The sequence below is a fragment of the Homo sapiens genome, chromosome 10 (assembly GCF_000001405.40).
Source record: "Homo sapiens chromosome 10, GRCh38.p14 Primary Assembly".
Lineage (NCBI taxonomy): Eukaryota > Metazoa > Chordata > Mammalia > Primates > Hominidae > Homo > Homo sapiens.
The window spans coordinates 50,978,412-50,992,813 of NC_000010.11; the positions used below are offsets into that span (position 1 = coordinate 50,978,412).

At 39.1% G+C, this 14,402-nt stretch overlaps 1 protein-coding gene across 1 annotated transcript in view, besides 1 other annotated feature; it reads left to right on the top strand.

The window, feature by feature from the left end:
* The window catches only part of PRKG1 (protein kinase cGMP-dependent 1), a 1,307,463-nt gene continuing 1,305,537 nt past the window's right edge, over positions 12,477-14,402 (top strand). The window contains exon 1 of the mRNA NM_001098512.3: positions 12,477-13,233. Coding sequence (NP_001091982.1) covers positions 12,968-13,233 — 266 coding nt within the window. The 5' untranslated portion in view covers positions 12,477-12,967. The remainder of the gene's footprint in view (positions 13,234-14,402) is intronic.
* Positions 13,552-14,052: an enhancer, noted in NCBI's record as "H3K4me1 hESC enhancer chr10:52751723-52752223 (GRCh37/hg19 assembly coordinates)". NCBI's record gives its function as "activates a minimal SCP1, AML or CMV promoter by ChIP-STARR-seq in naive H9 embryonic stem cells {active_cell/tissue: H9 hESC(naive)}" and the evidence as "EXISTENCE:reporter gene assay evidence [ECO:0000049][PMID:30033119]".

Consider the following 14,402-nt stretch of genomic DNA (forward strand, 5'->3'; position numbering starts at 1 on the left):
AACAATCCAGGATGAGGGCTGTTACTGGCGTCTAGTGGATAGAGGCAAAGATATTACTAAAGATCCTACAATGCACAGCACAGTCCCCTACAAGAGAAAATTTTCTGGCCCCAAATGTGAATAGTGCTGAGGTTGATATAACCCTGATTTATATAAACAAAATTGCACTAGCTCTAATTGCTTAAGTCATCTAGCCATTGGTGTACATGGCTATCTCTCAGGCATGTGTTAGAAAAGATTTGTGTGTGTGTGTGTGTGTGTGCACGCACGTGCATGTGCACAGGAAATTAGGCTATTTCTATAATCTGTTGAACTGTAAGGTCCTAGGCTACCCATTTATTTTACTCTTTTGGAGACTGTTACCCAGAAGAGGCCCATGGAACTATTGAAATCTGGCAAATATGAAGGTTAATGCTTTTTAGAACACATCTTAGGATGACATATGGCATCAGTGAGAGGACAGCTTCTGGTGGTCTCCATACCCAGTGTAAGTAGGATCAAGTTTGAGGGTAAGAGAAGGCCAAAGGGAAAGTTGTTTTCTGCTCTTTCTGGATGCTGTTTATTAGTAAAGCTAAGTCATTTTATTATATCTGTATATTTAAGAAATCATAGAAATTCAATGACTTAAAACATTTTCATGATTTGTTATCTTGATTGCAGTTGTAATTTCATGTAATATCTGTCTAAATTGATAAGAGTTAATAATTTAAATATGCGCAGTTTATTGTATGTAATTTTCCTCAATAACATTGTAAAAATTGTATACAATATACATTAGTACATTCTCACTGTAGAAAGTTCAAACAGTGTGTATTTTACCAAACTTGACAGTTATCCACCTCTCCTCACTCCTACTCCCCTTCCCTCTGGTAACACTGTTGAGTTTGGTTATTTAAATACATATGCAAGTATTTTACATATATCATGTAAACATGGTCATGTAAATGAAATCATAATTTTTTTCCTTCCTTTTTTTCACTTTCTATCACACCTTGGCATTCTTCTTATAGGTCTATTTCATTCTTTTTTTGTGGCTACATTTAATTTTATAATGTGTCATCCATTATTTAATCACTTAATTTTAAGGGTTTTTTTTTCTCTTTTGCAAACAGCAAAAATACTTTGTGTATACACATGATCATTATGTCTATAATCTGAACGTTTAGAAGTAGGATTGCTGAATAAAAGCTAACACATGTTGCGATTTGGATGGCTACTGCTAAATTGCTTGCTACCAAGGGCAACAGCTTACACTCTAGTCAATATTTGGGAGGGCCCTTTTTCACAGCTTTGACAATAAGGAATATTATCAATCTCTTAAGTTTTGCTAATTTGACAGACAAAAATAAATTTTGTTCAGGATGGATGTCTTTGTTTTTATCATTTTGCATTGGAAATTTGTATTTTTTATTTTGTATTGGATTAGGTATCTCGTTGATTTGTAGGAGCATTTTACATCTTATGAATACTAACTGTTTCATATATTTATAAAGCATTGTCAATGATTAAACATAGAATTACTATATAATCCAGCAATTCCAGTTCTGGGTATGTGCTGAAAACAAATGAAAGCAGAGACCTGAACATATTCTTGCACACCAATGTTCATAGTTGCATAATGCACAACAGCCAATAGGTAGAAGCAATTGAAGTATCCACTGGCAGATGAATGGATGAACAGAATGTGGCCTATATAGACAATGGAATATTATTCGGCGTCAAAATGGAAAGACATTCTGGTACATGTTACAACATGGATAAACCTTGAGAACATTAGACTAAGTGAAATAAGACAGTCACAAAAGGACAAATAATGTATGATTCCATTTATATGATGTGATGGTTAATACTGAGTGTCACCTTGATTGGATTGAAGGATGCCAAAGTATTAATCCTGGTGGCTTTGTGAGGGTGTTGCCAAGGGAGATTAACATTTGAGTCAGTGGGCTGAGGAAGGCAAACCCATCCTTAATCTGGTGGGCACAATCTAATCAGCTGCCAGTGATATAAAGCAGGCAGAAAAACGTGAAAGGCAAGACTGGCTCAGCCTCCGAGCCTACATCCTTCTCCCGTGCTGTGTGCTGGATGCTTCCTGCCTAGCCTCCTAGCCTACATCTTTCTTCTGTGCTGGATGCTTCCTGCCGTCAAACATTAGACTCCAAGTTCTTCAGTTTTGAGACTCGGACGGGCTCTTCTTGCTCCTCAAGCTTACAGACAGCCTATTGTGGGACCTTGTGATAGTGTAAGTTAATACTTCATAAACTCATATATATACACATAATAAACTCATATGTGTGTGTGTATGTGTATGTATATACACATAATGTGTGTGTGTATATGTGTGTATATATATATATATATATATATATATATATATATATATATATATTCTGTCCCACTAGGGAACCCTGACTAATAAATATAAGGTACCTAGAACAGTCACATTTATAGAGACAGAAAGTGGAATGGTAGTTGCTGGTGGCTGGGGTAAAGAGGGAATGGAGAGTCATTGTTTAATGAGGTTCACAGTTTCAGCTTGGGAAGATAAAAATTTTCTAGAGATGGATGGTGGTGATGGTTGCAGAAAAATGTGAATGTTCTAAAAGCCCCTGAACTATACACTTAAAAAATGGTAAAAATGGCAAATTTTATATTTTTTACCAAAATAACAAAATGGAAAATAAAAACATTGTTTTGTTTCTAAACTTTGTGTTTTCATTATTGACCCATTTTTAAAAATTATTCACCATGTTGGTTTAATTACTATAGCTTCATAGTATATTTGATGGTAGGGCAGCAATACAGTTTTTGTTGTTTTCAAATATTTTTCTTACTCTATTATAATATTTGTTCCATATAAATTTTCAAATCCACTCATCCACTTCTATTTTTAAAGTATTGTTGGAATTATACTGAATTTAGAGATAAATATATCTGGGGAGATATATCATAGTTATTATCCAGAATATTTTGGTTAATCACATTATTCTTACTTTTCTAAGTATAGAAAAATAATTTTTACTATTGAAAATTATTCTTATTTATAAAATGTTTTGTAATTTTTTACACCTATACTCTCTCTCCAATTTTTCTGTAATACATTATTTCATCAATAGTAGCAATTTTAAAACTGCTTATTCACATGATACACACTCAGGCATTCTCTATTGCACAATGTATTAACTGTTTACTAATTTTTTCTTTCCTTGGAAAAATGACTTAATTTGTACAAAATTAGAATAGAAATTTTGTTACTCTAATAACATAATAACACAGATATATTATTTTTTAAATTAACAAGTATACATATTTCAATTTGCAAGGTTAGCTTGTCAGAGTACTCTATTTCTTTAAGCAACTTAATTATTTTAACCTGATTTTCCCGGTGAATAAATTTTCACACTCAAAGAGAAAAGCAGTCTTTATAGGAGAAGTGAAAAAAGAGGCTAATTTTAAATGAACATTAAACCCAGTGAGGAGACTATAGTCTTGCTTTACTGGTGCCACAGATAACATTTGGTTGTTTTCAAATATCTTTTTGGAAGCTTCCATATGTTATTTATTGTAAAAATGTCCCTGGTTATGGCATTATATTAAATCAGCACCTCTTAGTATAAAACTTCAAGTCCTCGGAGAGGCATTCCAAAAGGCCCTCCATATGTACTTTCCAGCAAGCATGTGGCCTTGTCTTGCCCCACCCATCACACCACCTTCCTATCCCCTGACCAGTTACACAAACAGGTGCCTGAGCTTTTCAGAGAACATGTTCATAGAAGAAGCCATTCAGAGAGATTATACATATACTCAGAAAGGCTCTTTCTTAGTGACAGTTTTTGGTTAGTTTTAAATTATAGAAATTTAGCTGGTTTTTACATTTGTTTGGAAAATTGTTTCTTTGGCTTCAACAAAGTGGGCATGTGTCAAATTTGTTATTTGGTGATTTTGGCTTTCTGTGAATTGCTTTTTGGCAAATTAAATTGTGGAGAATTGACCAAGGCTACCCCAACTTTCTCTCTCTCTCTCTCTCTCTCTCTCTCTCTCATGTGAAGACACACTCCCATCTTACTGATTGTTCCTTCTCCTTCCTCTGTCATATGATGGCACTTTGAGAAAAAGCCTTCTAGTTTTTTCACTATTGCTCCACCATTAGTCATGTGCATATCTGTGTCCCCTAACCCTAGAGCAGCTCCTTCTGCACTCTCCTGAGTTTCTTGAGGGCAGATACTCTTACTAATCTCTGTATCCTCAATGTCTAGCAGAGGGCCTGGGACCTGTAGAAAAGCGAGCAAAAAAAACTTTTTGAAAGAATGAGATTAAATACATCTGCTCAGGTAATACAAACATTTATTTTTAATTTCCCTTTCTGAGGAACAATGCCAGATTCATGATATCCTTAATAAAAAGATTCCTGGCATAAGTGGCTCTTCGCCTGTGTCTTTCCTAGAATGCTAATTTGACATTTGCACAAAAGGTAGATCAGTTTGTCTGACTGTGGAGGGGCAGATGTTGTCAGTCTTGATTGATGATGATGCTCTAGAGTCTAACCCTCAGCCACTTGTGGCATTTCCCATCTGGTCTTCACACCACTCCATTTCTGCTATTAACATTAAACTATCCAAATATTCGAATTGAGACTTTTAAAGGAATAGTTTGTTTTTTACTGACCTACCCAAGCTAGAGGAATGATTTATAAGAAAAGAAAGTTACTGTGACTGAAATAGACACACACACACATACACATGGGTGGGGTGTACACACACACACACACACACACCAGCACCACCTTATGTTACCCCGAGGTATTCCTGGCAGTTTCTTGCTGATTTTAGCCACAGTCTGAGTAATGTCTGCTTGCCTGAGTGTTGTAAAGTTATCTCCCTTTATTAGATGAACTCTTGAATGAAGGCTGGCGGTACTGTGTCTTCCTAGTTCAATATCTGTTGTCTTTCTGCCGCCTCTCTGCAGACTAGAGGTGGCTGCAAAGGATGCCGTGGAAACGAGAGAGGAGTGCTGAACCAAAGCATTTTTCAATGCAAAGACTTCTCATTGTAACTCATAGAGTTCTTTAAAATTGTTTTGGGGAAGTTTTGAGTGTTACTCTGGCCTTCTCACTTTTATTAAGGCTGCTAAAATGGAGCCATATATAACACAGATTTGAAAACATAATCAATATAGCACTTGGAATTGTTACTTGTAAATATGAGAATTCTAACATCTCCTGGAATATTGCAAGTTCTGTGAAACTATTTTTTTACAAAAGCAAATTATAATTTATTTTTATAATAACTGCCTGGACATTCTGATAAAATCATTTCCAAATAAATTTGTCCTCATTGAATCTAAAATAGTAAATGAACTATTTAACTAACTATGCAATTTTGATTAGAGACCAAGAAAATCATGACAGTTATAAAGGCTTGAGAGACTATCAAAATAGAGTGCTCCTTATGCCTAGCTTTTTTTTTTTTTCTTTTACATGGACACTGCTAATTGGAAATAACTTGAGATAAGCTCAGATGAATGTTTCCATTAACACAAAGCAGTTGGGGAAGACTAAGGCCAGAGGTTATTTTATTATATTCTTAAAAGACATATATGTCTTATAAGGTTTGGCTTTTGTTCTTAAAATACTAGACCATTCAAAAATTGTTATTAAATATATTCAATAAAACAAGAAGTACCTAATTTTTTTTGAAAGGGAAAGAAAATCTATAAATAATGGCTAAGTGAAGGGAGGTCGCAGACTGTCTAAATTCAGCCATGTTCCTGCCTTGTTACTGACCATTTTATCGCAAAGTGAAACAGTGTGACATATTGCACTGGAATAATGATCCTGAAAAGCAGGAAATAATAGCTTTAAGTTAGGGAATATACTAGCATACAAACCAGGTATTAAATCTTATTTGTGTAAAAATGCATGTTTTTACAAAAATGCTTTTATGAATGAATTGAGTATTTTATGAGGGATACACAAATAAATGTTACTAGTGAATGATTGCCTCCAGAAAAGGGAACTGGAGAACAGGGATGGGAGAGAGACTTACCTTTCAATGTACATTCTCTTGTACTTCCTGAATTCTATATCACATGCATGTATTTTCTATTAAAATTATTTATTTAAAAAATGCTCTAGCTGGGTGTGGTGGCTCAGGCCTGTAATAGCTATACTTTGGGGGGTTGAGGCAAGCAGATCACTTGAGGCCAGGAGTTCAAGACTAGCCCAGTCAAAATCACGAAACCCCATCTCTACAAAAAATACAAAAATTAGCTAGACGGGGTGGCACAGTCCTGTAATCCCAGCTACTTGGGAGGCTGAGGCATGAGAATCGCTTGAACTCAGGAGGCAGAGGTTACAGTGAGCCGAGATCGTGTCACTGCACTACAGCCTGGGTGACAGAGCGAGACTCTGAGATTCTGTCTCAAAAACAAACAATGTTCTAAGCAGACAACTCCAATTTCTATCATTTCTACAATCAAACAAATATTCAAATCAAAAACTAAACTCAAAAAAGATTTGTATTTAAAAAAGAAAAATCTTCCAAGTCTCCTCAAATACATGACATTAGGATTTGAACTCAAAGGTAACATGATGTAGGAGCACTTATTTTCCACGGATAACTATGGAAACACATTCAGTTAATTAATAAGACTCCAAAATTATTTAAGTATATACTTATAGTGAAATACTTTATAAAAAATAAATAATACTACGCAAGAGAGTTATTAATATTTTACAGATGAGAAAACTAAGGGTCAGCTGACTACATAATTTATTCAAAGTCACAAGGCTGGTCCTCTACATAGGGCAAATTATAGTAACATTTCTGCTGTGTAGTAAACTAATGAATGATTTCAATCCTTACTAGAACCTATGTTTGGAAGATTTACACTTCAGTCACTTTAGTGTTTTGCTTTAAACATAAACATCTTTTATGGAAGGCTGTTCATATTGTCATCAGTATGCTTTAAGCAGTTCCTAATTTATAGCAATGTTTAATGTTGCTCAAGTATCCATTTGAAATGCATTATAGTTTCACTGAAAATGACCCTTTTGGGAAGGCAGCCTTCTGGAAATGGCAATACATTTCTAGTGTTTTTAAAGGATATTTTAAAAATGGCAGTCAAGTCATTTATGAGTTTTATCTTGTTGCCTGACAATTTTTACCACAAACTGAAAGACTTAAAACCAACTTATCTCACAGTTTTGGTAGTGAGAAGTGTGGGGACGGCATGACTAGGATCTTTGCTTAGGGACTTACAGGCTGAAATCAAAGTGTCAGCCATGCTTCCTTTTCACCTGGAGCTAGAGGTCCTCTTCCCAGCTCATGTGGTTGTGACAGAATTCAGTTCCTTGCTGTTGTAGGACTGAGGTCCCCACTTCCTTACTTGATGTCAGCTAGGAGTTGCTCTACATCCCTGGAGTCCACCTGCATTCCTTGCCATGCAGCCTGCTCCATTCTCAAAGCCCGTAACAGGAGATCTCTCTTGAGTCCAGTCCCAATCACATTTCAAATCCCTATCTCAAGAGGAGCCTAATTTCTTTTAAGGACTTGCCTGATTAGGTCAGGCCCACACAGGTAAGTTTTCTCTCTTAAAGTCAAATGATTTGAGATGTTAATTATAGTTACAAATTCTCTTCACAGCAGCACTTTTATTAGTATTTGATTGTATATTGATTGAGTAACTGGGAGAAGATGCTACCAGGGGTGGAAAACTTGGGGGATGTAAATGCAGTATAAACATTCCCACCACCACCACCAATCCTGTCCCCATCCCCTACTCTCTTCCCCTGGTGAGCTATCCTTCCACCAAAAAGTCAAAGAAGGGATTACATTACCATGTTACTTATATTTATTTATATAGAGTTAAATTTAAATAAGAAATTTAAATTTGGCTTTCCTGTTCATTTGAGTCTTAAAGGTCTAGGTGCAAGAGAATTTAGTTTCCCTATCTGCACTTTATAGTTGGGATAATTGATGGTCAGGGAGATGAAATTATTGGCCTCCTCAAGTTACATGGCATCCCTATCTTCATATTTTAGGTCCATGGTTTTAAATTTACTGCAGAATTTTATTTCTATAATATATTAAATATCACAATTTTTAGGTTAGTTTTATTTTTCATGATCTCTAAAAAGAACTGTTTTTTTTTCAAACCTGTGGACAAATATCGCAGAAAATAATAAAATGCAATGGTCTTACTGTTGTATGCCCGCATGAGAAAGAATTTCATTTACATCAAGAGGACCACATTGTGAAAAGCATTTATATACATTTTTTTCTATAGGAACTTATGTTTTTTTGTTTTTTTTTTTAAATAACTGTATGGGCTGGGTGCAGTGGCTCATGCCTGTAATCCCTGCACTTTGGAAGGCTGAGGCGGGTGGATAACTTGAGGCCAGGAGTTCAAGACCAGCCTGGTCAACACGATGAAACTTTGTCTCTACTGAAAATACAAAAATTAGCTGGGTCTGGTGGCAAACACCTGTAATCCCAGATACTTGGGAGGCTGAGGCAGGAGAATCATTTGAACCCAAGAGGTAGAGGTTGCAGTGAACTGAGATCACACCACTGCACTCCAGCCTGGATGACAGAGCAAGACTCCGTCTCAAAAAAATAAATAACTCTTATGATTCTTTATGGAAATCCAGAAAACAGAAACGAACTATTTTTGAAGTTTGTTTAATTAAGGCAACACTTCATTTGCCATTTTCATCTTCTGTGTGTTGGTTAATGTCAATGTGGGTGTGTTTCAGGACTTCAAGATTTTATCTTACTCAAGGTGCAACCACTCTTTATGATCGAAACAACATGGCTGGTTCAGGTGACAATGTTAAAGCCACATCCAGTATGATGTAGAATTAATGGAAAATAATCTTCTATTAATCAAAAAGTACGCTGTAATTTTCGTAGGACCAACCAGACTCCATCTTAACTCTTTCTTCTCTCAAAGTTTTAAACATAGCTGAAGTTATTGGATGGATGCTGTCTGTAAGAACAGATTGATAATTTCAGAATGTGAGTCACAGGGAAAGTGGAGTTCCATAGAACCATTGAAGGTAGCAAGGTAAAAAGGACCATAGGTAACTTCTCCTTTTACAAATGATGAAAGTGGATCTCAGAGAAGTTAAGGAATCTGCCTAAGGGCACACAGCTCAAGAAGTGATAGAACTGAGATGTGAATATCAATCTTTTGGTTCTAAATTCAGTCCTCTTTAGTTCACCAATTGCATCTGTTGGTGCAAAATGTATTGTTTCCAGTTTTTCACAGGTATTGCCATTTTTTACAACCACAGCAAGTATTTGGGAATAAAGATATGGTTTGAATTTTGTGAATCCTTACCTGTTTCACAAGCTCAGATCCCTGTCTCTATTTTCATTTCCCCAAGCCTCTTTTATGGGCTGCTGCCATCCATGTGAACCTCACTCTAACCAACTGCACATGATAATTTCCTTTGGTCTGAATGTGTACAATATGCACCAAGGTCAGTATTATTCCAAGGGGTGGGGTGATGAGAGTGGTCCACCTGCTCAACAGTAAACACAGTAATCCTTTGTACTTAGACCAAGAGAATATTTTTGGGAGGAGGAGGAATATTTTATTACTGATATTTGTAACTTCTAGTAAATAGAGACAATAAAAAGCAGATTGACTTTTAGTCACTTTTATTATTGTTTCTAAGTTTTTTACAGACCTGTCCTCCCAATGGCCCCTGTGACGCTGTCCTGGATTAAAGTACAGGAATCCCGGAATTGCTGCTTACATCTTACACACTTTCAGCCTTTCTAGAAAGTGCTCCTTATTAGACAGAAGAGAGAAAGGGAGGCAAAACACAATCATAATTTTTGAAAGCACAAATGCTTAAAAATTGAAATTATATATGAAATGTATAATATATCCCAAAATATCACTAGGAAAACAACTTCGGTAAGGAAATTGATTGTTAGACACCAGAATCTTATGAATTTTTCTGGGTTTATATGTGATTTTACACTTACTGTGTCCCCAGCAAGAAAGATATTTTAGTTTTGCTTGTCACCGGGCTCACAGAGAAGTGAATATTTTAATGCATTTTGAGTAGAAGCAGCGCTGCATAGGGTATTAAGACAGCCTGGGTCAAATCTGGACAATGTGACCACGGGCAAATTATCTAGTCTGGCCAAGCATCAGTTTCTCCATCTATAAAACAGAAATGAGTAATAGTGCCTATCTTACAGAGTAAGTGTGGGGATTAAAATCAATTACATAAAGGGCTTAGCCCTGTGCTGGCACGTATTAAATAATAAATGTTGACAATCATCATTGTCATCATCCAGGCTAAAAGATATTAAATGTAAAAAAAAAAGATTTTTAGTCTGACACAAAATTCTGGTTGTTTTCTTCATTTCTCACAAATATGAAATGAAAACACCAGTACAGGTATTTAAGGACATAACCCCAACTTAGTTGTGATTAAGATTTTTATTTAGCAAATTTCTCCAAGGGCACTAGATGGCGACCTTGTCCTTTAAGAAAAAAAAAAAAATCTAAGGTTTCATTAATTCTCTGCTTTGACATATTACTGCTACAGATTTAGAAGTAAGAAACAGAAAGTAAGGTCACATCTTTCAACACTGGATCATCAGAATCATAGAGTTTCTAAATTTTCTGGATCTAGGCTAGGAGCAGCATGGGACGGAAAGCATGCTTCGTGGGTATTAGGCGTCCTGGACTCAAACTTCTGCCCTTGAAGTGATCTTGGACTTTCCCTCTCAAGATCTAATTTTCCTCCTTTGTAATATGAGGTTGTTGGGTTAGATCATCTTCAAAGTTCTTTCAGCTGTAATATACTATGACATGTTTTTTAATAATTCAGTGTTTATTCTTCTACCAGCATGTCTTTTCTCAAGCTTTCCTTGTGGTCTAAATTAAATACTTCTTAAGCCAATGGACAAGATTTAACGTCACTAGCAATCAACATTATTTAAATTAAAACTGACCTATTCAAAAATAGTTTTATTTTGGAAGATGGGGATGAATTTTGGGTTTTGAGGTGCATGCGTGAAATCTAAGTTTAAAGGTTTATTTTTTAATAAGCAGAAGAAACATTTGAATATCTTCATTTAAGATAGTGTAAGACTTGGAAAAAACCTTTTAAGAGTCATTTTAAAACTATTTTTTTCTTCTGTAAATAAAGTTAAAGCTATGCCTAGATTTTTGAATGTGATCAAAGGTTTTTTCTAATGTATTATTTTTAAATGTCAATTATTTTAGTGTGTGTAAAATGATAATAGCAGATTAAGTTCATAGACAGAAGCAACAGAATAGCAACTGTCAACAACACTAAGAACCCTTTCTCAAACATCAGTAGACATAGCCAGACTTTAGCATCTGGTGCAATTAAGAAATTCAGATGTGGTTTAAAACATTTTTAATGTACAATAATCAGATAAGTAGAATAGTAAATAATAAATCTCCAGAATAAAATATACACCTGTTTTTCCTTTATTTAGTTGTTTCAGAAAAGGTAGAATAATTTTTTTTTTGTAAGTAGCCAGTAATTATACATTGATTTTTCTTTTTTAAGAAAAGTTACAATTTAGGAAAGAATCTCCTGGTATCTTAGTTGCAACTATTTTTTTCCTTAAAAAAATTACCAATGTGTTGACTATTATCAGAAGAAATACTTCTCATTCCCTATCAAATCAAACTCTCAAATAGTGACTTATGTTATGTAAATGCTCTCTGTGATAGATATAAAAAAGGAAATTGTAAGAATCCGTGAATACGCGATTATTCTACTGTGCAGAATAATCCTTTTAGCATAGGGTAGATGGTGGATGCACAGGTAAGACCTAAACACAGATAATTAAAGATGCAATTTCTCCCCCAAACTGGAACTGGTAGTGTGACCCAGCTTAGCACTGGTGGCCACCACTTCTGAGCCATTGAGGAAGAGATTGTGATATAATTTGGATGCTCTGTATACAAGACTGAAGGGTAGTAGATGGAAAAAAAGCCAGACACAAAAAGTTTACAGTTAACACATGGCCTTTCTCTTTTCCGTAATCATTTGGCTCATTACCCTATGTTCATCCAACTTCCCCACCAACAATTTTAGTTCACTCTGTCCAGTAAGGCTTTACGCTGAAAAACCTTGGAACTGGTATTGCCCTGTCATTCTTACTAGGGTCAGAACCATGAGACTTCAAAGTAACTAACACACACACACGCACACACACACACACACACGCCTTCCTTTCTGAATCCATCCAGGCATCAAAAATAGAAAAGAAGTAAAAGTCAAAGACCAAGATGAATTTGTGCAGGTTACTGTCTAAAGGCAGTTTAATATTTACGAAATGTCACACACATACACACACACTCACACTCTTTAGGATCCAGTTACAAGCGCTGCGTCATCCGCCAGATCACATGGTAATTGTTGCTATTTCAAGGATCAAGTGGCATAAATCTCCCCCCCCCCACCCCACCCCCTTCCCTTGGTACCATACAGCGTGGAAGAGTGAGTTTTGTGTGATGGAGTGGGACCAGGCTCTCTGATCCAACCCTCTGCTAGCAACTCGGCTGTCGGTGGGGTGGCGCGCGCGTATTCTCACGGAGTGACTAGGAGAGGGGGACGAGGGAGGGGGTCTCAGGGGAGGAAGGGCAGCTCTAATTGGTTTCTCAATGAAAGATAATCACCTACTCCCCAGAGAGGCTGGAGATTAGCACTCTGCCTCTCCTCTCCATCGCTTTTAGACTTCTCATCCTCCCCTCGGTGCTTTTAGTCCATTCAGCAGAAGCGGATCGAAGCAGGAGGCTCCCCGCGCCGCATTAGGGGCGCACTCCGCCGCGCTCGAGTACTTAGCGCCCATTCACTCGCTCACCCGCGCTCTCCGCTGCCGGCTGCCGTCCCAGCCGCCGCCGCCGCCGCCGCCGCCGCCGCCGCCCGAGAAAAAGTTTCGCGGAGGGGCTCAGTGAAAAAATGAGCGAGCTAGAGGAAGACTTTGCCAAGATTCTCATGCTCAAGGAGGAGAGGATCAAAGAGCTGGAGAAGCGGCTGTCAGAGAAGGAGGAAGAAATTCAGGAGCTGAAGAGGAAACTCCACAAATGCCAGTCGGTGCTCCCAGTGCCCTCGACCCACATCGGCCCCCGGACCACCCGGGCGCAGGGCATCTCGGCCGAGCCGCAGACGTACAGGTCCTTCCACGACCTCCGACAGGCATTCCGGAAGTTCACCAAGTCCGAAAGGTAGGCGCGGAGGCCGTGGGCCCGGGCGCTCGTCCCGGCCCGCGGCGCAGAGGCTGGGGGCTCTGGCCGCGGCGGCGGGGGCGGGTCGGCCCAGGGCGCCCCCTGCTCGCTGCGGCGCGCGGAGTGGGGGTGGCCCCGCGGCCCGGGAATGGGAAGTGTTTATTTTTATTTCTGCCCATCACGTGCTGTGCTTGTCTCCGCCGGGCTGGGAAAGGCGAGCTGCACGGGGAGACGCGCCCCTGTGGCGTGGGGGTGGGGAGGAGGACCGCGGAAAGTTTACTCGCGCGGGCTAACTTGTGCCCTCCACACATGGCTGCAGTCGCGCGGCTGTCCTTCGTGCGCCCCGCTGGGAGCGTCCACGCAGGGACCCAACCCTGCCCATCCAGGGGCCTGGAGAGCTTCCCAGCGGCGACCCCCCGGACTCAGGCCACTGGACATGCTCAGTGGGGCTGTCCGAGCCTCCTAGGGAGGGGCGACTGGAGGCTGGACAGGGTTGGGCTCAACTTAGGGACTGAACTTGCCCAGAACCCGAGCTCTGCTGGCGGATGCGGGGACAGGGAGAGGCGGGACAGGGGCTTGTCTCTAGGGCAGGGATCCAGCCTGGAGCGTGGGGGCGAGGAGGGGAGAGGTTTATTCACAGGGTCACTTTCAAGGCAGCTGTGATGTCAGCAAGACATTGCAAAGAAACCCCACCTTCTGGACGTTTCTTTGCTCTGATTGTGCCTCTTCCAGAAGTTCAACACCTAAGGCTGCTCTAGGTTTGGAGTCCGCTCAGTGACCTTGCACCTGAAGCAGATTTGAGGCTGCTCGTCAGCCCTGTCCCAAGGTGGATAGTGCGCCCTCCCTTTTTGTTTTCCCCTGAGTCCCTCCCTGGAAAAGTTGGGATGAAGAAGGCGGAGGGGTGAGGGTAGGCTGTTTCTCCGGACGCCTCTGGGCTCCTTCCTTTCCTCCTCTCCGGCACTTTAAGAGACAAATCCTGCCAGTTCAAAGTTGTATGTCACTCCTTTGGGGTGTGCAGAGGAGGCTGGGTGGATTTTGGCCACAAGTAGGAAGCTTTTGCACTCCACTCGTCGCCTTCACCGGAGAAGGCTGATCGATTGGCTGCAGCATTAAAGCGCCTCTGGACATTAGGGAGAGGAAGTGCAGACTCCAAAGCCATTACTGGCTTT